Source organism: Homo sapiens, chromosome 6 (assembly GCF_000001405.40).
Source record: "Homo sapiens chromosome 6, GRCh38.p14 Primary Assembly".
NCBI classification, from domain to species: domain Eukaryota; kingdom Metazoa; phylum Chordata; class Mammalia; order Primates; family Hominidae; genus Homo; species Homo sapiens.
In genome coordinates, this window is record NC_000006.12 from 12,046,926 (window position 1) to 12,068,441 (window position 21,516).

The window sequence follows — 21,516 nt, forward strand, 5'->3', positions numbered from 1 at the left end:
CCTTGGCTCACTGCAATCTTCGCCTCCTGGGTTCAAGCAATTCCCCTGCCTCAGCCTCCCGAGTAACTGGGATTACAGGTGTCCACCACCACGCCTGGCTAATTTTTGTATTTTTAGTAGAGACGGGGTTTCACCATGTTGGCCAGGCTGGTCTGGAACTCCTGACCTTGTGATCTACCAGCCTCAGCCTCCCAAAGTGCTGGGATTACAGGTGTGAGCCACCGCGCCCAGCTGACCACATTGTTAAAGGCATAAAATACTATTCCAATACTTTTAGCAGTAATTTGTACATTAAATAAGTGACATAATTCTAAATGCCTACAAATATGTGTAAGTCTTGTAACGTTTTGGGACCATGCTAGTGTCAAGTGTAGCCCTTGTACAGTGATGTACATGAGCATTAAAAGACCATGCAGTTTTAAACGACTGGAGACATTTTGTCAGTGTCTTCACAGAGGAATCAGGAAGTTGGACGGTTGGCCAGTGGGTGAAATGGTGTTTTCGGAAGGCATAACTGGGCGAAGGGAGGAAGCTGATTTGCCTGCATGTGCTGCTACCTCGTGGTCCCCACGGTGCTGGGAGGGGAGACAGGTTCATGGTAGCCCTGGGCAGCCTAGGTCACATCGCGGGTCTCACAGCCACTGGAGCAGAGGTGCTACTCAGAAGCAGGTGTTCTGCCACAAACACATCTTCTTTCCGTCCTGTCACACTGCTGATTGCTGTTAAGAGTTTGGCCTTTCCCTCACTCTGCTTTTGGAGTGGGATTGGCTGAGGGTGTGGATGTTTCCTTCGGTTTTCACCCTTACGTTTCTTAGGCACTTCTAAGGGCACCTTTTTCCTGTGGATGCACCCGGTAGGTAGCTTTTTAATTCAGTGGTATTTCCATCATGAGAGATCGCTTGCAGTCATGGAACCCTCTTAGTTTCCTCGATAAGCTGGTCAGGAAAGAATTTCAGACCTTTGTTTTGGGTTCATTGCACTTGTCTTTTCAGAGCAGTACCCTCCTTGCTTTTCACATCTGAGTACTGAGCAGTTTGCGTGGTTCTGGCACGTGCCTAGAGGCCCTCTGAATTTGTAAGTGAGCTGTAGGCTCAACTGTTGCTGTTCCATTTTGCAGGTAGGATGCATCTGGACTCTTCTGTTTTTCACTAGCTTTCATGACCATGGGCTTTTCAGCTTCTTACAAGATTTCTGTTAAGCGGGCATCTCCATTTCAGCCAGTTCTTTGTCCCAGCTTCAAAAGTCATAAATTTTAGCTGCCATTGGGCCCAGTGATAAGAGTAGGTGGGCCATGGTGAAGCGTAAGGCCTTGGGAAGGCACTTGTGCGCCGTCCGCGGCAGCAGGGTATGTCAAGGCTGGAGAGTGGACACCTTCTTGCTCCTTTAGATAAGGGAAAGAACATTTGCTTGAATAAAAAATTAGGGTCATATTTTTCTGAACTTTGTCACCTAGACATTAAATGATAATTTAGAATTGAGAAGAGATGGCATACATTTCCAATACTCTACCTCTCTCCAGCAATTCTTGGCCTTCCAACCAATATGCCCATCATCCCACCCCAAAATCTTACCTTTTTTAAAATTTATTTTTTAGTAATCAAGATTCTACTTGTGAGTCACAGAGTATTTAAAAACATGCACAATCTGTTGTTCATGGTACCTGGATACACTCTCTAATTGAAAATTCAACATTTAAGGGCGAATACAGAATGCTTGTTTTTAAAAATACCTTTCCAGTTTAAAGAACCATAGAGGCTAAAACGAGATTGTCTCCTTTTTAGTATTACTCACATCAAAATTATTCAATCTTTGTGAAACTGAGATACAGGCTTGTTTTGTGACCCTTTCTTTCCAGTTACTGGCTCACTTTTGAGCAAAATGGTGAAGCTGTTCTTTCTGCTTGGGGACAGTTTTGTATTATTTTCTCTCTCCTAGTCTGCACAATTCAAACCAAAATCAAGCCTCAGAGTGTTTATGTGGTATCTACTGGGCACACTGGCTGCTTAATGCATTTTAATATGATGTTAGTAAAAGAAAATGTGGAGATAGTTACTCATTGGGCATTATGATGAGATTTTAGATTCCAAAGTCTAGCCAACTCTGGCTTACCCAAAGGAAAATAAAAGAGGTGAGAATACAGCAAAAGGTGGGTGTGGGCAGGGGGAAGAGTATGGGGTGATTCTCCCAAGCCTTTATAACCAGAACATTTATTATGGGGTGTGGGTTACCAAATAACAGGAACACCCTTGAAACAGGTGCTAATATGTTGAAATCTTTTTGGTACACAGAGGCTTGAGATTAATGACATTTCTTATGTCAGGATTCACCTGTTTTTAAGGTGCAGGTAGTGTTGGCAGGCCCCCTCGTGAGCAGCCTTCCTCTGCAGGGTTCTGACCCTCTCTCTTCCTCTCTCTAAGATTTGGCTACTGAGTGGGTCAGCACCTGGAGAAAGGGGATCTGAGTGGTGTTTTAACCCCTCAGGGAGCTTGTGGCGTGACAGCACTGGCTTTCTGTGTTCGGCAGAGTGTGTGAGACCTTGCGCGAGGAGGTGACCATCATGCCAGTTGCTCTGCCTGATCGGATGTGTCTCTTTAAATGACTATACGATATTAAAGTTAAAGGAGGGCTCTTAGATATTTAGATTTTGTCCAGTTCTCTGTTCACAAATCAACACAAATAATCAAAGAAGGTATTTTTCTGTCTGCTTGCTCAGATAATAAATGCTATTTATATGTAGAAAGAAAGATGGAGGGATGATTTACAGATGACTCAAACTTATTTAAAAACAAATTTGTGGATTTCCACTAATAAGCTTATACTTTCATGGCACACTTGAGTAGTTTTTATTAAACTTCCTTTTTCTCGTATGCTCTATTTGGGATTTCAACAATTTTTATTATGTAATGAGGGAATATTTTTGTTGTGAAATTTTTCTTCCTTTTTGATGTAACTGTTAGAATTTGATGAACTGGTTTGTAACATTAAAATGAAGATGAAAAATTACAAGGTATTCACCAAATGAATGTCACTTTCTGGGGTGTTGCTGGCGATGATATGGGCTCTCTGGAGCATATATATCCGGAGGTGCTCAGAGTCTGCCCCTGTTGCTCCTAAGAAAGACAAAGCCTCCTATCTGATCAGCTTTGTCCATGACTCTCTAACTTGTTCTTACACTGACACCATTAACTGCCCTAAATGCCAGGCACCTACTCCGCCAGCCCAGTGGAAACAAGCCTGTATTAGTAAACCGCGATTGGGTTTAGAATTGGGACTGTTCCACATGCTCTCTACTTGCCAGATAAGCCTTAGCATCCTCATCTGTGAATAACGAGAGTTCATGCCTGCCACACATGGGCACTGTAAAAATTAAACACCATCGGCCGGGTGCGCTGGCTCACGCCTGTAATCCCAGCACTTTGGAAGGCCAAGACGGGCGGATCATGAGGTCAGGAGATCGAGACCATCCTGGCTAACACGGTGAAACCCTGTCTCTACTAAAAATTCAAAAACACTAGCCGGGCGTAGTGGCAGGCACCTGTAGTCCCAGTTACTCGGGAGGCTGAGGCAGGAGAATGGCGTGAACCCGGGAGGCGGAGCTTGCAGTGAGCCGAGATCACGCCACTACACTCCAGCCTGGGCGACAGAGAGAGACTCCGTCTCAAAAAAAAAAAAATAAAAAAATTAAACACCATGGGTCCAGCTGGGCGACTCCCATCCTCTCCTCAAGAATCATAAACATCTTTCTTTGCTTTCAAGATTAGCTCTCGCAGTCGGGCCCTGTCAGGCCCCTCCAGACAGTCTCACTGTAGATGCCCTTGCTTTCTAGCCCTTGGCCTGGTGGGCCATTTGCTCATCCTAAGTAGGCCTTTCCTGCTTCCAAGTCTTTGCTCCTACTTTTGGGGGGTCTTAATCTCCACCTATTGAAATGTTCTATTGATGAAGGTAGAAGTGGTGGGAAATGGTATCGGGGAACCACAGGCCAGGCGCTAGGCATGCTCATTGCTACTGGGTTGGCCGTTGCTTCCAGGCCTGTTCAGTGGACGCTGAGTGCATGTGTGTAGCAGATACACAAGTGCATATATATATATATATATATATATATATATGTATATTAAAATAAATATCAGGACGACAGGGTTTTTACTTCACCTCTTGGATCTTATACTTCTGTCTCCTTTCTCTCACAGCGAGAATGCTTGTACTCCTGGAATGGCAGAATTACTTACTTGCTTTGATATACACAGCAGTTCAGACTACTAATGCCAGCACCAATACCACCATTTTTCTTTTGTCATTAGTTTATGTCCCACTACGGATATAGGATTAATGTATTTCACTGTCAGTCATTCTTCTCTGTGTGGTTATGCTACCACCTTATAAATGCAGGGTTCATTTGTCACATTTTATTTTTGATTTTTAGGAGTTTTTATTTAAAATTTTTGTTTTACAATCACAGAAAATATTTACATGACTCCAAAGTAGCATCTAGAAAACAAGATACTGTCAAAAAAGTCCATCTTCTATCTCTGCCTTCTCCCCTCCAGTAAGTAACCATTTAAGAATATTATGTTTTATCTTTCCATTTTTGCCTTTACTATGTGTGTGTATACATAGTGTATGTATGTAAATACTATATAATTAGTGCATTTTATTATTTCACCCTAATTAAATATAATATATAGATAAAATATAAATAGATACAGGTATCTTTACATGTTAACATGCAGTCTAACCATTTTTTTTGTTTCTCGGGAAGGGAGGTGGTGGGGAGGGTGGTACATGAATGGGTATTACTAAAATTACTTTATTAGGTGGGCTGAAGTTTTTATTTGTTTTTGTTTCTTTTTATATAAATCTTTATAAACGCTTATTCACTGTGCTTTTTACTTTTAGTCAGCTTCTCTTTCCATATTTACACTTGTCCATAATTATACTTCAGCAATCTTGGGAGAGAACCTCTGTGGCTTTCTGAAAAATTATTCTTTTATATAAACTTGCCCAGATGAGTTATAGGAGGAACTGTTCTCTCCAGTTTCAAAATGAGTTTACATACTGTGTGGGGGGACTTTCCAACTGAGGATAGCATGTCGTGGTGTGTGGTTAGCCAATACAGAGATCTAAGAGGCTGCACGGCTTTTGCTAACTTGTGAAACATGCCTTTAATTTTAAAAGCAGTCTTTGGAAATTCTACTTCCATTTGTACATGGCTTTAGATGAATAAAGACATGTCTTCTTACGGAATCAAGACCACGGCATATGTATACAGGCAGATGATGAATGTATTGATTCTTTTACTTCACCTTATATTTACTCAACAAGGAGACATCTAAATAATGAAATGCATCTTACTGGAACCACCCAAAGTAAGCCACTTAGAGGGCCACCTAGAGATAGCTTTGTAGAGCATGATGGAATATCTGAGGGTTTTTATTAATACATTTTAACTTTCTTAAACATCATTTAAAAAATTAATGTTCTAAATATACCTCCAATAGTACATGAAACTGTTACAATAGTGTCCGAACCTTATGTGTGTAAAGTTATTTGGTCAGTTTGGAAAATTTTGTAGTATTTGTGAAGAAGGGTACAAGAGCTAACATACATTGAGTATCTACTCTGTGTCTGGTGTGTTCCATCAGTCATCTCTTTCAGGAATTAAAACTATCTTATGAGGCAGATAGCACTATTTAATTTTTTGTTATGAAAGAGGCTGAGACTTGGAGAGTTGGAGTCTCTTGCCTTGTATCATGTACCTAGTAAATGGCCAAACTAGGAATTGAGCCTCAGTTTTGTCTGAAAACAAATTCTTACTGTTCCCAGTGTACCTTGTTACCACAATTTACTTTCTTTTCTTGTCTTAAAATGAAGTCTGAGGTTCTAATTTCACCAGATTAAGACTAGGTAACCATCTGTAAACTAGAAATTTTAATTGATAAAACAATCATTCCTGTGCTTTAAAAATGCAGGCTAAAATGGTTAGGAAATGCTATCTTTTGGAGACTTGTAGCAAATGCTCAGAAAGTAATTTCTTGGGGTTGGGCGGGGATTCTCATCACAGTTTTTAAAATAATTTGATTGTCATTATTGCAAAGCTGTGTAGTTCCTGTAATTGGAGTATTTGCCTTTACACTTCACAGCTATAATTTTCTTCAAGATCGGAAGACTTTCTGAGCAGCTGCTTTAATTTACATCTGTTTTGGGGAAAATATAACACATGTCCATAGTATATGGTGTTCATTATAAAGATTTGCAGTAGACAAGGTATAAAATTATTATAAATATTTCCCAATATGCTGTTCATGTGTGTGTGTGTGTCTGTGTGTGTGTAGGGATATTTTGTGGCATATATAGCCAAATTTTATTTGCTGTTCTTTAAACATTGAGATGTCCTGACTGTCAATTTGTGGTTTGTTTAAAAGAAGAGTGGGATTTTTTTCTAGTCAAGTTAGAAGATAAAGTTTACCAAGGATACAAATAAGAGAAGCAGTATAGAAATGTATTATAAGCCATGGAAAATTATTATAAGAAAACACCATTAATTATAAATTAACTAAAATTTTAGGATATGACAAAAAAAACATAAATAGGTACCTGTGAGTCTTAAGGGGCAAAAGACTAATAGAAATATTCTGAGGCCCTGTGGAGATGGTGTGGGGGAGTTCTGAGTCCATAGCCCTAGGTAAGGGCAGAATTGATTCCATGTCTTGACTGAAACCAAAGTGGAGGTGGGATAGGGGGATGCTCTGTTGGGGGCTGTGTACTGCTTAAGCTAGGATATATTTGGAGAGAAAAGAAAACATTAATTTTCCTTTCTCAATCATAGCAAACCCCTTCCCCCACAAAACAGAAATTGACAAGAGAACCCTAGAGATAAATCTGCCAAGCTCTGTTATATGGTGGCTTTCAGCCCTTTTCCAGAATAAATAGGATGAACATCTTGGTACATAACGTATCTTTTACTTAAGGTCATTATTTTTTTCAATAAAGAATATGACAAATAGGATAACAGAAAGGGAACGTACATTTGATCCTTCTCCATGTGGAAATGTGAGCTACAACTTGTTAGTATCAGAAACGTAGGTTATCTTTCCCTTCTCCATTTCAAATAGTCTGTCATATTTGAAAGCTAATAGCTTTCAGGCTCGCATTGCCCATAACTCTCAGCAACATATAAAACATGCCCACTCTGTGTTTATTTACTTTAATCTGTCAATTGTGATGCCAACTCAAGATATTTGGGATTATTACATTTGATTCACTCATTTGCCTGATGACTCTGCAAATAATTGGATTGATACCAAGGTTTATGCTGTGGAAACTATGGTATGAAAAACAGTATATAGTCTATAGGTATATTTACAAGAAAACATACACTATATGTTTGTTTCAGAAAATTTGGAAGATCCACATACAGAAGTTATAGTCACTCATAACTGTACCATCCAGAAATAACTACTATTAACAATTTGATATCTTTCATTTATATGTATACATATGGATATATATGCATATACCTACATATGTATCTAGACTATATATACATGCACATTTACACACATATACATATGAATATATAACTACACATGAATTTTAAAGCACAGTTGGCATCATACAGTATATCTTTTGGGATGCTCCCCTTAATATTATCTATTACTAGTATTTTTCGGTGTCATTAAAATTCCCTATAAACATCAGTTTCAAATGACTGCATAATATTGTATCACATGACTTCACCATAATGAACTTTTTTTGCTGTTATTAGTTTGTTTCCATTTTATTTGGTTATCGTGGAACCTCTTTTTTCACTTTTCTGATTAACATACATGATTTCATGACATAGCATATTATTTGATGTTGTGCTTCTTGCTCATTAAAAAATCTGAGCATTTGAGAAGAACCTAATTCAGGGTTGTGATATTCATTTGTATGTTTATCCTGAAATACTTCTAAGGAAAAAATTATCTACATGTTAAATACCCATTTTAGAAAGTTACCTTTGTTAGCTTCAGTTTGATCTACTTTCATTCAGTTTCTCGTGAGATGTAGATTGTCTTCTCGCTAGGTAGTCAGACTTCTGTGCAGAACAAGATGGGCAAGTTCCTGCTCTTGTAGAGTTTACTGCCTAGTGGGAAAGTATAATACTAAGTAATTAATACATTATTATAGAATTATACTTGCAATAAACATTACGAACCTAAAGTTATAGTATGTTTTTAGAATGTATACTTGAGGAATCTAAACAGGAAAGAAAATTCTTCAGTTAAAATCATGATTTTCAGTGGCTCACGCCTGTAATCCCATCACTTTGGGAGGCCAAGGCGGACGAATCACGAGGTCAGGAGATCGAGACCATCCTGGCCAACACGGTGAAACTCCGTCTCTACTAAAAATGCAAAAATTAGCTGGGCATGGTGGCACGTGCCTGTAATCCCAGCTACTCGGGAGGCTGAGGCAGGAGAACCCCTTGAACTAGGAAGTCAGAGGTTGCAGTGAGCTGAGATCCGCCACTGCACTCCAGCCTGGCAACAGAGTGAGACTCCGTCTCAAAAAAAAAATAAAAAGTCATTATTTTGTTATCTTTTTTTGTTTCTATTTAAAATAGAAAACCACAATGCCTCATCTGACCAGTTGGCACAAACCGGAGGATACAATATGGACATGGTATTTATATGTTTTTCTCTCACCAATATCCAGTTTACAGGAGAAGAAATCTTTAATCCTTTTGGTTGGATATTTGATTTCTGAGCTGGAATTTTTTTCTAAGCTAGCAAATTTCAGGATACAAATTGAGTTATTTCTGCCAGCATCCTGGATTGGAATCATGAGATTTCATCACTATGATTAAAAGAGCCTTTCCCTGCTCACAAAGCAAGTTAAACAAAATCAGCAAGATGATGGAGATAAACGTGCTTGGTCCATAAAGCCCAAGACAAGTGTTCTATTAAGCTAGTGCTGTTATAAAGTGAGCACAGGGAGATATGGAAGGCTAGTGTGCATCATTTTGGGGAACTGTACTATATGTAATATTCGTGCAAAAGATGAGCTGTTATTTGCTCCTTTTATTTTATATGCGCTTGCTCAGCACCTTAGGTAGCAGAAGTCATATATTGGATTAAATGGCTCTAGGCACTTGTTCTAGGGGCCCTAGTTTTATCCTTGATCTGGTAAAAGGCTGGAATAGAGAAACTAAGGTTAAAAAAAAAGATTAATGAAGAAGCGGAAGTGAAGAGTCTGGAGCAGAAAATAAGTTTAAATGTCTTTGGGATTTATTTGGAGGTGAAATAGGATCAATAAATTACTAGTGTGTTACTGGGCAATGTGAGGTTTGAAGATGAAGGAAGTGTCTTGAATGTACTTACTATGTTGTATAGAGCCTTAGACTCGAGGTAGTATGATGTTCTTAAGGAAAAGTGGAAAGATTAATATTAATAATAATAATCTGTGTTTCCTTCAGTCGAATTCATAGCAGTTAATGTCTTGCCACATTTGCCTTATCTCTGTATATGTACTTTTTTGTTCATTTATTTGTTGTACATTTGAAAGTGTATTAAAGTTATCAATTTTTGTAAGTTGAATTTGAATATGCCACTTTACTGAATTCTTATTCTTATCGATTCAGTTGATTTTGGGGGGATTTGTCTAATTAGATTATCATATCAGCTGCAAATAAAATGATTTTGTTTCTTTACAATTTTTATGCATCTTTTAAATTTTTTGTAATTTTATTACATTGTCCAGGACTCTAGTGAAGTATCAAATACTATCATTGGTAAAAACGCGACTTTAATGGCAATGCTTCTGGTAGTTCACAGTTAAATACAAGTTAGCTTCTCAGACATTGTTTACATAGTTTTGGAAATTATTTTAATCATAACTTTTTGAGTATTTTGCAAATAATGGTATGGTTTTTTGTTTTTGTTTTTTTTTTTCAAACAGAATCTTGCTTTGTTACCCAGGCTGGAGTGCAGTGGCATGATCTTGGCTCACTGCAGTTTCTGCCTCCTGAGCTCAAGTGATCCTCCCATCTTAGCCTCCCAAGTAGCTGGGACTACAGGTGTGCAGCACCACACCTGACTAATTTTTTAAATCTTTTTTGGTAGAGATGGTGTTTCACCATGTTGCCTAGTCTGGGTATGGAATTTTTATCAGTGTTTTGGTTTAACATGTCTGTATAATGAATTGTAAGCATAGATTTTTCTGATGACAAAGCTATCCTTATATTCTGGAGCTCTAACTTGGTGATGATATTTTAGTCTTTTTATATACTTGAGTACAACTGTATTTTAAATTAATGAATATAGATGCTATTGTGACTGATGAAATAACAGGTGCATTTAAAAGTATTGCCTGTATTTTTATTATTGATATGTTTGCTAAATCAACAGATAGTAAAAATATAACTACTGTCACCTGGAGGACTATAGCATTGTTTGTTGGAAAGAAGACCTCATGCTTGAAATGGTTGGCAGTCAGTAATCTAGATACTTAGAAAAAATGCATATTTTCCTCCTTACCCCTTTTTTGGTAGTTTTGCATGTGAGTATATGGTATATGGTCTAGAGATGATCTTGATATTAATCTGCAGATTCCGCAATCTCAGAAATAAGAGGAACTTGAAGAGGTTACCTCCATTGTTCTGTTTTCTGTTTATCAAAGACTCTCAGAGATGATGACTGTGTTATAGTCTCATGAAGTAACTCATTCTAAAGCTTCACCATCAGTTGGTATCTCCTAACTTTGATGTTCTGGGGTATTCTAGTTAGTAGGCTCTTCTGATATGCTCAGGATTGGTTAAGAGGCTTCTTTCTTGAATATTTGATATTATAACTCTTTCTAAATAGATTAGAATGATGAATATAAAATTTAATAATTATTTGGACAATGGGAGGGGAGTCAGTAGAATCCTTTCTAATAGTAATACAGTAACTGTAAAATGTGAAGAATAGTGTGCATCATTTTGGGGAAGAACGTTTAGAGTAGCACTCGGCATGTAGTTTGCACTCATTAAAGATTACTTCTTATTGTCTAACAAATACTCAAATATTTTATTCCCCATAGCCTTTTGACTTGCATGAGTAATTGAAAAAAAGAAAACCAATTGTGGCTTTCTTGCTAAACAGATGTTTAGAGTACATAAGTCCCTGAGGCCAGCATGTTGAGTTGTCACATCGCTTTAGTGTGAGAAGGAAGGCATCTAGGTAATCAGATTGATTCTGATTGTTTCAAACCAAAATGCTGCTGTCATGTAAGGGGGCTTTGGTCTGAGAGTGTTTGTCAGTGTCAATATTGCCAGTGATTTGGAAAAAAAAAAAGTGTAAAATTTATATATACTGCATTTATAAAGTGCTTAGTGGTAATTCTGCAAATGTTAGTGTTTTGAAAATAGCATTCATCCAGTCATGTGTTTAGAGAAATAGAAATTGTCAAAAGGAAGTTAAAGGGGTTGATGATGTCATTTACATTTTAGTTCCACTCCCAAGTTGGCTGGCTCTTTTGAAGTTGACTCTTAAAATCCTAGAGTCATTGATCTTATAGCTGAAAGGAACCTGGAGAGCATTGATTCAAAATATGTTTGTTGTTGTTGTTGGAACAAATATTGCGTTAGATATTAGAGATATAAAAATGAATAAAATATGGCTGTTGCCCTTAAAGTCTAGCCTAAAAGATAGACAACCTGAACAAATACTTTACTTTGGGGTAGTAAGTTCTGGAATGGAAGCTTTAGGCAGGGGGTAGATTTTCCATGTTTCCTAGGTGTGGCTCCAGCAGCTTGGGCAAGCAGCCCAGGCGCAAACAGCTCCGTACTGGTGATGGTATTGCTGGAACTAGACTCCTGGTCTCTTGATACAAGTCACGTGGGGCTGACCTAGTAAGCTTTGCAAAAGAAAATTTTACCAAGCATGCATGTATGCATGTAAATATCTATGTAAGTATGTACATATGTATTGATTTAGTACCTTGCTCTGTGTAGTTAACAGCTGCTTTATGTGAGACGCATAGACATAGACATTCATGCTTACTTTTTTTTTTTTCTTTTTTGGAGACAGAGTGTCACTCTGTTTGTTGCCCAGGCTGGAGTGCAGTGACACAATCTTGGCTCACTGCAACCTCCACCTCCCAGGTTCAAGCAATTCTCCTGCCTTAGCCTCCCAAATAGCTGAACATTATATTGTTCACCAGTAGTATCTTGTTCCAGGCTATTTCAATTGGAATTATTATTATTAGACCATCACATGTTTATAACCACTTACAGAATTTGATACCACTGTACCTAGCTAATTTTTGTATTTTTAGAAGAGATGGGGTTTTGCCATGTTGGCCAGGCTGGTCTCCAACTCCTGACCTCAAGTGATCCACCTGCCTCGGCCTCCCAAAGTGCTGGAATTACAGGCGTGAGCCACTGCGCCCAGCCAACATTCATACTTTCTTATCCTACATTTTTTGGGGGGCGGGGTACAGAGGTTGGGTGGGGATTCCCGCTAAACATTTAGAACCAACAGCAATGAATAATTTGAGTAATTTGTAATGTGATTGTGTTATTGTGTTATCTAGAACACTATACTCTAACCCTAAACCTCAAGATAAAGGCTTAGATTCCTTTCACGTTACTGTGTCCATGATCTTGACTGCTTCTTCTGCCACATCCCTCCGGTGGTGCTCCCTGCATTGCCACCTACCTGGGGTTCTCCTCGCCTACTGTGCTGTTTCTAACCATCATGCTTTTCCCTGAATCTCTTGAGTCTTTTTCTGCTGTGGACTGAAACTTGATCCTGAGATTCACCTCTAGTCCCTCTGGGCAGCCTCCTGGAATACTCAGCTGGGATGGGTTGGGGCTGCTTGAGGTACAGCTCCCACTGCCTCTGAGTGGCCCTCCATGAAAATGCCTCATGTCTCTGTGTCCCTAAACTGTAGGGTACGTAGCACATTGGTAGATACTTAGTAAATGTTTTGCTGAAGAATTCAAGTTTTTAAATTGCCCTTTTCATTGGACAACTAAAAAATGTGTATGCATATACATGTATACATATATATGTACTTTTTAATGTTCTAATTCTCTTGTATTGTTTTTCATGTAAACATAACTGTTTTGGATTTCAATTGATTTCGAATACATGTTTTGGAGAATATTAAACCCACCACGTTTATATTGTTCACCAGTAGTATCTTGTTCCAAGCTATTTCAATTGGAATTCTTTTTATTAGACCATCACATGTTTATAACCACTTACAGAATTTGATACTTTGGTGCATCCCATGGATTAAAACATACTTTAAAATCTGACATCTATATATTAAACAGTTATTGTAAGCATGATTTTGTTAATGGGGATTTACATCTGCTTTCCAATCTCTGTAGCCATATGAAGTGTAACTAGCCATTATATTTGCTTCTTTAAATATATATCTGGGAAATAAAACTTCAGACAATTACAGTATAAACTAAACCTGATAACAATTGAATAATGAATGATAATCTGTTCAGTTTTTCCCTCCTGTAGAATTAGATAGTTGATGATTTGGTTTAAAAGTAAAAATATTTTTTAAAACCTTGACTTTTCTAAATAAATGAGAATCTGCAAAAGAAACAATGCATATTAAGTACTGATTGTTTCTTGACTGTCATAATGGATGGCCTCTCTCTCTCTGTCGTTTTTAAGAAAGCCAAATTACAGGATAGTTAATATCTTAAAGGACTCTTATCTCAAATACTAGGATGCTGAGACATAAAGGGGGCTTGCTGAGATACTGTGTCAGTAAATGAAACTCAGCAAATCATAATCATCTTTGGATTCTCAGTCATGTTATGTAAGTGGTCACACAGATGGATTTTTAACTCTGATTTTCCTAAGTTGCTTTCCTGGCCATTAAACGGTTGGGAAGGTACTCTCGGATGCAGAATAAGAAGAATGCATTACTGTGACTTTAAGAAGGAAATTAAGTAGGGAGGGAAAATGGGGATGTTGTGACTGCTGACATTTGTGGCCTCCTTTCATTTGCGTAAGAGATGGACTGGCTTCTCTGTGGCTGCGGTTGCCATGGAGAGGTAGTGGGGGAGGACTTCCAGGAGGCAGCCCATGAGCGAGAGTCTGCCTTAGAGCTGCTCCTAGATGTGACGTGAAGGGGCAGGGAGCTCAGGTGTGCCGCGGCGGCACAGATAATGGGGATGGCCGACCTGTCATGGCTGGTAACGTGACTGTGCACATACCCCTGGGTGTGACGGATGTGTTTGTGCAAGTGCCTGTGGATTCTCTATGTGAAATGAAAGGATTGTAATGTTGTGTGTGTTCCCACCCTTTGATGCGATTTCCTACACTTGATGTGATTTGATGAAAAGAGTTTAAACAATTAAACCAAATGTACACCCTGGTTATAAAAAGAGACTAACTTCAATTGGCACGTTTGCATATAGGTAAATGACATCAATAGCAGGTCAAATAAATTACTGTGGGACTAATACACTCAGAAAAATCTAATATGGTAGGTTAAACTGTAACCAGAAATGACTGTGTTACTAACCTGGTATCATTGTTATACAGATATTACAGAGTGGTGTAGCTGGCTAATAGAAGAAAAACGAAACAATGAAAGTTAGAAGATTTTTTTCTGCATAAAATGTAGAAGAAAATCACTTGCATGTTTTGTAGATAAAATGCTTATATCTGAAGAGATGAATTTTGAGAATTTTGATCATTGTTATAGTATATTTTATTGGAAATACTTTTATATCAAATAGAAAATTGCTAACAAGTTTATAGTATGATCATTTTATGGCTTTTGTTGACATAAGTGGTAAATTGAATATGAAAATTATATTTGTCTTTTGTTTTCTTGTGGATATCATTGTGGATATTGCCTTTGTTTAAAAATAAATGTGATTGGTAATTTTAACTTAAACACCAAGCTACAGTTTAAAAAAAATTTCTAAGTAAAAATCTATTTCTCGTGAGGAAATCCTATGATGTATTAAATTTACCAAATATAAAGAAACTTACTTGACTTCTTAGTTTTCTGATGAAATTTGAATGAGAGCCAAGTATTAATATTGTTTTATAGTAGAGTCAAAAATAGTTTAGGTGAAATAATACATTGTCAGTTTGTTAGTCATTGACTGCTTAATGCATATTACAACTTATTTAAAGAATAACTAGTTGCCTAAGTCAAATCTGTGAAATGAATGCCAAATCTTTTCTTTTTAAAAGTATAGTGTTAGGTAAAATCTAGGTGATGGTGTTACATAGTGCCACTGAACAAATTTGTAGAATGTTCAGATTTACTTAGAATTTACTTAGAAATTATTACATTAAGTTAAAATATTTCAGAAATTACTTAATACATGTTAGAGATTATATATATAAAACTATTCCTTTAATGATAACCTTATTTGGCTTCCTAAACCTTCCATTTCTTTTTTATTTGGAATATTGTATAGTAAGTCTAAATTTCTTTACCTTTTGAGTACGATATTTAAATGTATAAACATTTATGAGTTATTAGATACAGATATTGATGTAATTAAACATTTCATTATTTTTCTTAATTTTTAAATTAATTCTAAGTTACATCTATTCAGCAAGGAAGCCAAAATTGGTTTTCTTTTTTTCAATTGCTCGTGCAAGTCAAAAGGCTATGGGGAATAAAATATTTGAGTATTTGTTAGACAATAAGAAGTAATCTTTAATGAGTGCCAGCTACATGCCGAGTGCTACTCTAAATATTCTTATTCTTGTTTTTTCTGAATCTCATGCAACTTTGTGAGGTAGGTACCATTTTCTCACCCATTACAGATGAGGTAACTGAGGTTTGGCTTATAAGTAACTTGCTCAATGTCATAAAGATAAGAAAGGGATAGACCAGGATTTGAACTGAGAGAAGTTTCTAACACCCACACGTTACTGTCATTTTGCGTATTGAAAGTATAGTGTAGTCTGGCATAGTGGGAAAAGCTTTCTGTTCAGGTGTCCTGGGATGGAATCCCAGCTTTCCTTGTCTTAGCTGAGTGACCGAAGTTACGCCTCTTCATGCCTTAGTTTTCTCACAGGTACTTACTAGAAGAATACATGTGAGTACTTTCATTCTTGTGCTAAATGTGAAGACTCCCCTGTTAGTAGTAGTTATTGCTAACACGTATCATTATTCATGATTTAAAAATATAATATGCTAATCTAAATTATGTTTTACTCTTTTTGGAAATAGTTAATAGAATAAAAGGAGGAATAAAGAGGATATGATTAAAGTAATATTGAATGCTTTTCAGTTATCATTAAAATATTTATTGATTTCTAGCAGAGTTTTTCAACCTCAGCTCCATTTATGATTTGGCCTAGATAATTCTTTGTCTTGGGCACTGTCCTGTGTGTCACGGGATATTTGACAGACTCCCTGGCCTGTACCCACTAGATGCCAATTGCAGTCTTCCTCCCTCAGTTGTAAACCAAGATGTCTCCAGGCATTTCCAAATGCCTTTTGGGGGGCAAAATCACCCCAACCTAAAAACCACTAGTGGAGTTATATGGCATTAAACAAGATTGGGATGAGGACATTGGTGGAAAGTGGGGAGGGAGGAGCTGGCTCATGTTGGCAGGTGTGGCTGCACGTGGAAGGTGGGTTGGAAGGCAGGGAAGGGCAGGAGCAGATGCCATGCAGAGGACTGCAAAGAGGCAGAGGCAGATGTCTTGGGGAGAGAAGGGGCTTGGATCTGGGTGGCTGAAGTGGGCAGCTTGGAGAGGTTTTTGGAGGAAGAATCAGAGGACTTGGGGATTGCCAGAGTATTACACATTTGACAGCACTTAATAAAGAACAGTGAAGGTTTTGAGAGGTGGTCACTGGGCAGTCTGCAAGACTGACTCTCCAACCAAGTGAAACCTCTTGTGTACCAGCTTCACCATGCATGAGATTCACATATGTTTCTTAGTGGTAAAAATCATTGCATGTCCTAGACCTTCCTGAGCACTGCAAACCTTGGGTCTTAAGTTTGGGACTGCCAAGTGACTCCCATATTTAAAACTTCCATGATTTGCCTTGGTTTGAAGATTAGGTGTGATCTTGGAAAATGAGAGACCTCAGATTTTGGCAAGGAACATGCCTTGGTATAATATATAATATTCCCTCTTCCTGGATTCTTGCCAGGTTGCTTGCTCCTACCCAGGTTTCTGGCCTTGACCCTAGAGCTTTCTTCTCTAATGCATCTACTTGTAAACTAAATAATTCATTGGACACCAAATAAATTTTTTTTAATGTATTGTGACTCAGTGTTTTTGAGTCACAATTTTGAAGTTTACGGATTTCTGGAAGCAATGCATCCCTATAGTGGGAACGGCATATGTATCATAAATTTTGTAAATGGTAATGACTAAAGTATTCCAGACTCTTTCTGTGTTACAACAGTCAGGGAAACCAGATGAAGTTTCTTTCTTTCTCAGCAAATAACCTCAGCAGGCTGTTTTGGGAGCTATTTCAATAAGGTCATCACAAGCAGAACTTAATGATCGTTTGTTAACAGCAGTGGGTGACATCACCACGAATTGTAATTGCAACTTAAATGATAGTATTATAAGGTACTTTTTAGTGTTCATTATTTCAGTAGTGGTGATAAAACCTTTTTTTATTCTGCAAAATTATGCTGGTGAAATTGTATGTATCTGCATGTGTCTGTCTGTGATTTCTACCATAGTAAAATGAAACTTCAGTTTTGAGCCAGAACTGAGAACTCTTGGTTCTTAGGTCTAGCCCAAGAGAAGACAAAAGGGAAGAGAAGGGAGAGGCTACCTTTCCTGACAGCTTCATGGAGTTTTCATTTTTTGTGTGTCCCCTCCCCACGCCGTACACACACATATTCCCATTACACTTCTGTTGATCAGTTAGATCAGTTAGTGGCTGCTCTGTTTTTCCCTGCAAAAGGAATTTTTCAATTTGATTTTCCATCCCGATTTCCCAGTGGGCCTTCATGAAGCAGTCAAGACATTTTCAGTATGTTCTTTCCCTCCAACAGATGTGAATCCAGCCATATTGAGCATATGCTGTGTTTCTAGGGCTGTACACATACTGTGGGGTTGGCTCTTCTATCTTCAGGTTGCTAAAACATCTCAGATGGAAAAGAGATTCACACATAATAGATAATTTAAGGCCCAAAAAAGACCTAAATCATGGTGGACAAATTGGATGCAACTAAATGCCAAATTGTATGAACTAGGTAAAGGTCTGTGCAATGTATAGGGAGGCAAGAAACTGTTACTTTCCTGGAATCATTAGTAGGTGTTTCTGAGAGTTGGAGTTAAAGCATGTCATGAAAAACTGGTGAGTTGTGGATAAATGTTGGGACCTGGGATAGGAGAATAACTATGATAGATTCTGATCATGGCGTTTGATATTAGAGGGTGATGCAGACATGAAACAAGCAAGGTCACACACATACATTTAACACAAGAAGAGGTGGGGTGCTGTTGGTGCACACTGGAGTGCTCCCAGTTAGTGTCAGGAGAGAGCTTCAAGAGCATGTGACATTGATGCTCACACATGAAAGATGAGAAGTTGCCAGGTCAGGCAGGACGCCCTTTTGATACACACATAGAATACAGGGATGTGGCATAGAGTATCACTGTACCAGCAACTTCCCGTTCTGGAGGCAAATCTGCCTGGGTTCAAGCTGGTTCTTCCCCTGACGGGCTCTGTGAATTCGCTTCTGTGTGCCACTGTTTGCTCCTCTGGAAAATGGAGGTGAAGGGTGGTCTCCTCCCAGGTAGGTTTTGTGTGTGTGTGTGTGTGTGTGCGTGTGTGTGTGTGTGTGTGTGCATTGAATGGTTGTTACAATATAATAACTGAAAAGAGCTCTAAGTCCAGTTTTATTTTAGTGTGTTTTTGCTGTGATTTGCCTAACTTGGTTTCTATGATGCAGTTAGCTTCTGCAAATGGCAGAGCTGATAAACGATTAGAAAGCTATTTTTGGTTTGACTGGTTCAGATGTAGATGTGAAGTCCTCAGAACAGCACTCAGCACACAGGAAGCTGTTACTGTTGGATATCCCCCAGTAGGGCCTGAAGTGCGAGGGTGCGGCTGTGAGTAAGGAGAATGAGGGCTTCCCAGGCAGGTGTAAAGGAACATTGGGGAGGTGATTCTCATGAGAAGGAACACCATGAGCTTGAGGCAGCAGTGGGGGAAGGCAAGCTGTGTGCTGTGGGCATCCCTAAAAGGCAGTGTTGTTCATTCAAGAGGAGAATTTTCAAGGGGAGCGATTCTTACGCTGGATGGGAACAGATAGCTTGTGCGCTGTTTCCATTGGTTTTAAGAGCTGTGTGCGTGTGTGTTAATTCTGTGTTTTGCTGTGTATTTTACATGTATCTTAGGGAGTTTAAGAAATAGTTAATCTTGTTAAGTATCCAAATAATTGCATGATGACCATCCCTCTTGTGCTACCACATAATAACTGAAAAGAGCTTTAAGTCTTAAGTTCAGTTATATTTCTGTGTGTTTTCACCATGATTTGTCTAACTTAGTCTCTTTGTTGCAGTTAGCTTCTTAGGCAAATGGCAGCAGCTGATAAATGATCAGAAAGCTATTTTTGGTTTGACTAGTTCAGATCCATACATATGAAGTTACAAGCTTAATTACTGTTATTTTTGGCCAGAGTCCTTGGAAGTGTTGGACTTAGCCAAGTACTTCCTTTGTGAAAGAAATGACACTTGTTCATTGTTTGAATTGTGATGATTTCTCAAAGCATATGAATTTTTTGACTGCTTAGATTATGAAGATTTAGATGGGGAATTTTGTGCATTATAAATTTTATCATAAATAAATATTTGTTCGGAACCACTTTAATGTATGATGGGCCCAATATTATCATTGTCTTCTCTGAGCTATTTCTTCAAGGTAACAGTGAAAACGAATAACTAGAAGGCATTATGTTTATATATAATGGGATGGTGGATATATTTCAAACAAAGACACTGTGTGTGTGTGTGTGTATATATATATACACACACATACACTTTATTATATATACATACATACAAAATATATGTACTGTTATTTAGTTAGGCTAATGGCTTTGAACAACAATAATAATAGTAATGTGGATTCCAGATAATTTATTTTCCTGAAATATAATTTAGTGTATTTTCATCAGCAGATTTGGTGGTACATTTTCTAAGTATTAGTCTTTGGAAAATCCGTTTAGGGAATATATCTCTGAATGTGTTGGCTGGTTAGAGTTAGTGTTAGGGATAGGGTTAGGGTTTAAGTTTAATTAAAAAACTAACTTTTAAATAATGATTAATTATTAGTATTATGGATCTTGCAGTTGACTACCTATAAATTTCTTTATGTTTTAACCATTTTCTATTTTTATTGAAGTGTATCACTTAGTAGTTACTATCATTTACATTTAAAATTGTAGCATGGAAAATTAATAATTGGAATGTTACATATTTAATCTATTTCTGTGAAACTACAAAAAATTTGTGAACTTTTCTCATGAATTCTTTAAAGGAAGTTGACTGGCCGTTTAGCCATTTATTTTACAGAAATAATAATAAGGACTATTTAAACAATGTAGTTAATTTTAAAGTTTTTGAGCTTGGATTTTTTTTTTAAGGTATATTTTTCTTGTGGTTATAAAATGTTAATTCTTCCCTGCTTTTGAGTAGGCGCCAATGGCGTAGAATGGTTTGGATTTATTGCATTTATCTGATGCCAAGCTGGAGATTATTGGGTGCCCTGCCTGCTGTGTGTCCAGCTCTGTGCTGAGGACAGTGGTGAGCAACTCCTGCTTGTGTCCCCAATTCCTGCCTGTCCTCCCCAGACCATGCACTCCATGGTCTGGTGAGGGGCTGTTATGATGAAAGGAAACAACTGCTCTGGTAGGGAAGGGAAGGTATTAGGTTATGTGGGGTACAAATCAATGGCCCCCAATGTAGTCTTGAGGAATTGTAAGATGTTAGGGTGTTTGTTGGTTTATTTTGATGATAATTCCCAAATAAAGATCATATCTGTAGTTGATGACTAAAGCTGTTAGATTTTATCCATTGTATTCATTTTATTTTTCTCCCCTCTAAGACCTACTTATATTTTTCATACCTTTTTAATTTCTGATTCGTGCTGGTGAGGGGGCTGTGCTTTAGAAGAGATGCAGATTTTGAGATGAAAGAGCAGACTTCTTAACTGACCTCAGAATACTTTTTTTGTTTTTTGAGATGGAGTTTCGCCCTCGTTGCCCAGGCTGGAGTACAGTGGCACGATCTTGGCTCAGTGCAATCTCCGCCTCCTGGGTTCAAGTGATTCTCTTGCCTCAGCCTCCCAAATAGCTGGGATTACAGATGCACACCACCATGCCCGTCTAATTTTGTATTTTTAGTAGAGGCGGGGTTTCACCGTGTTGGCCAGGGTGGTCTCAAACTCCTGACCTCAGGTGATCCGCCCACCTTGGCTTCCCAAAGTACTAGGATTACAGGCACGAGCCACCATGCCCAGCCTGACCTTAGAATACTTTAACTAACACTTTTAACTAAATTAAAGGAATGTAAA

The 21,516-nt window shown here is 38.0% G+C and overlaps 1 protein-coding gene across 18 annotated transcripts in view, besides 6 other annotated features; it reads left to right on the top strand.

Moving 5' to 3' along the window:
- HIVEP1 (HIVEP zinc finger 1) overlaps positions 1-21,516 on the top strand; it is a 204,356-nt gene that overhangs the window by 39,233 nt on the left and 143,607 nt on the right. The window contains exon 1 of one of the 18 annotated variants that reach the window (XM_047418704.1): positions 3,025-4,543. The exons of 16 other annotated variants lie outside the window; for them this stretch is intronic. Coding sequence is in view for 1 of the 2 variants with exons in the window: in XM_011514555.4 (XP_011512857.1) it covers positions 14,179-14,185 (7 nt within the window). In the remaining variant the exon portion in view is untranslated. Of the gene's footprint in view, positions 1-3,024; positions 4,544-14,083; positions 14,186-21,516 lie in introns of those variants that run through there. One more of the 18 variants, XM_011514555.4, reaches the window with a different exon arrangement.
- Positions 355-424: an enhancer, noted in NCBI's record as "active region_24001". NCBI's record gives its function as "activates an Ori minimal core promoter by ATAC-STARR-seq in GM12878 lymphoblastoid cells {active_cell/tissue: GM12878}" and the evidence as "EXISTENCE:reporter gene assay evidence [ECO:0000049][PMID:35858748]".
- Positions 1,065-1,174: an enhancer, noted in NCBI's record as "active region_24002". NCBI's record gives its function as "activates an Ori minimal core promoter by ATAC-STARR-seq in GM12878 lymphoblastoid cells {active_cell/tissue: GM12878}" and the evidence as "EXISTENCE:reporter gene assay evidence [ECO:0000049][PMID:35858748]".
- Positions 2,577-2,636: an enhancer, noted in NCBI's record as "active region_24003". NCBI's record gives its function as "activates an Ori minimal core promoter by ATAC-STARR-seq in GM12878 lymphoblastoid cells {active_cell/tissue: GM12878}" and the evidence as "EXISTENCE:reporter gene assay evidence [ECO:0000049][PMID:35858748]".
- Positions 4,901-5,170: an enhancer, noted in NCBI's record as "active region_24004". NCBI's record gives its function as "activates an Ori minimal core promoter by ATAC-STARR-seq in GM12878 lymphoblastoid cells {active_cell/tissue: GM12878}" and the evidence as "EXISTENCE:reporter gene assay evidence [ECO:0000049][PMID:35858748]".
- Positions 5,201-5,250: an enhancer, noted in NCBI's record as "active region_24005". NCBI's record gives its function as "activates an Ori minimal core promoter by ATAC-STARR-seq in GM12878 lymphoblastoid cells {active_cell/tissue: GM12878}" and the evidence as "EXISTENCE:reporter gene assay evidence [ECO:0000049][PMID:35858748]".
- Positions 5,271-5,350: an enhancer, noted in NCBI's record as "active region_24006". NCBI's record gives its function as "activates an Ori minimal core promoter by ATAC-STARR-seq in GM12878 lymphoblastoid cells {active_cell/tissue: GM12878}" and the evidence as "EXISTENCE:reporter gene assay evidence [ECO:0000049][PMID:35858748]".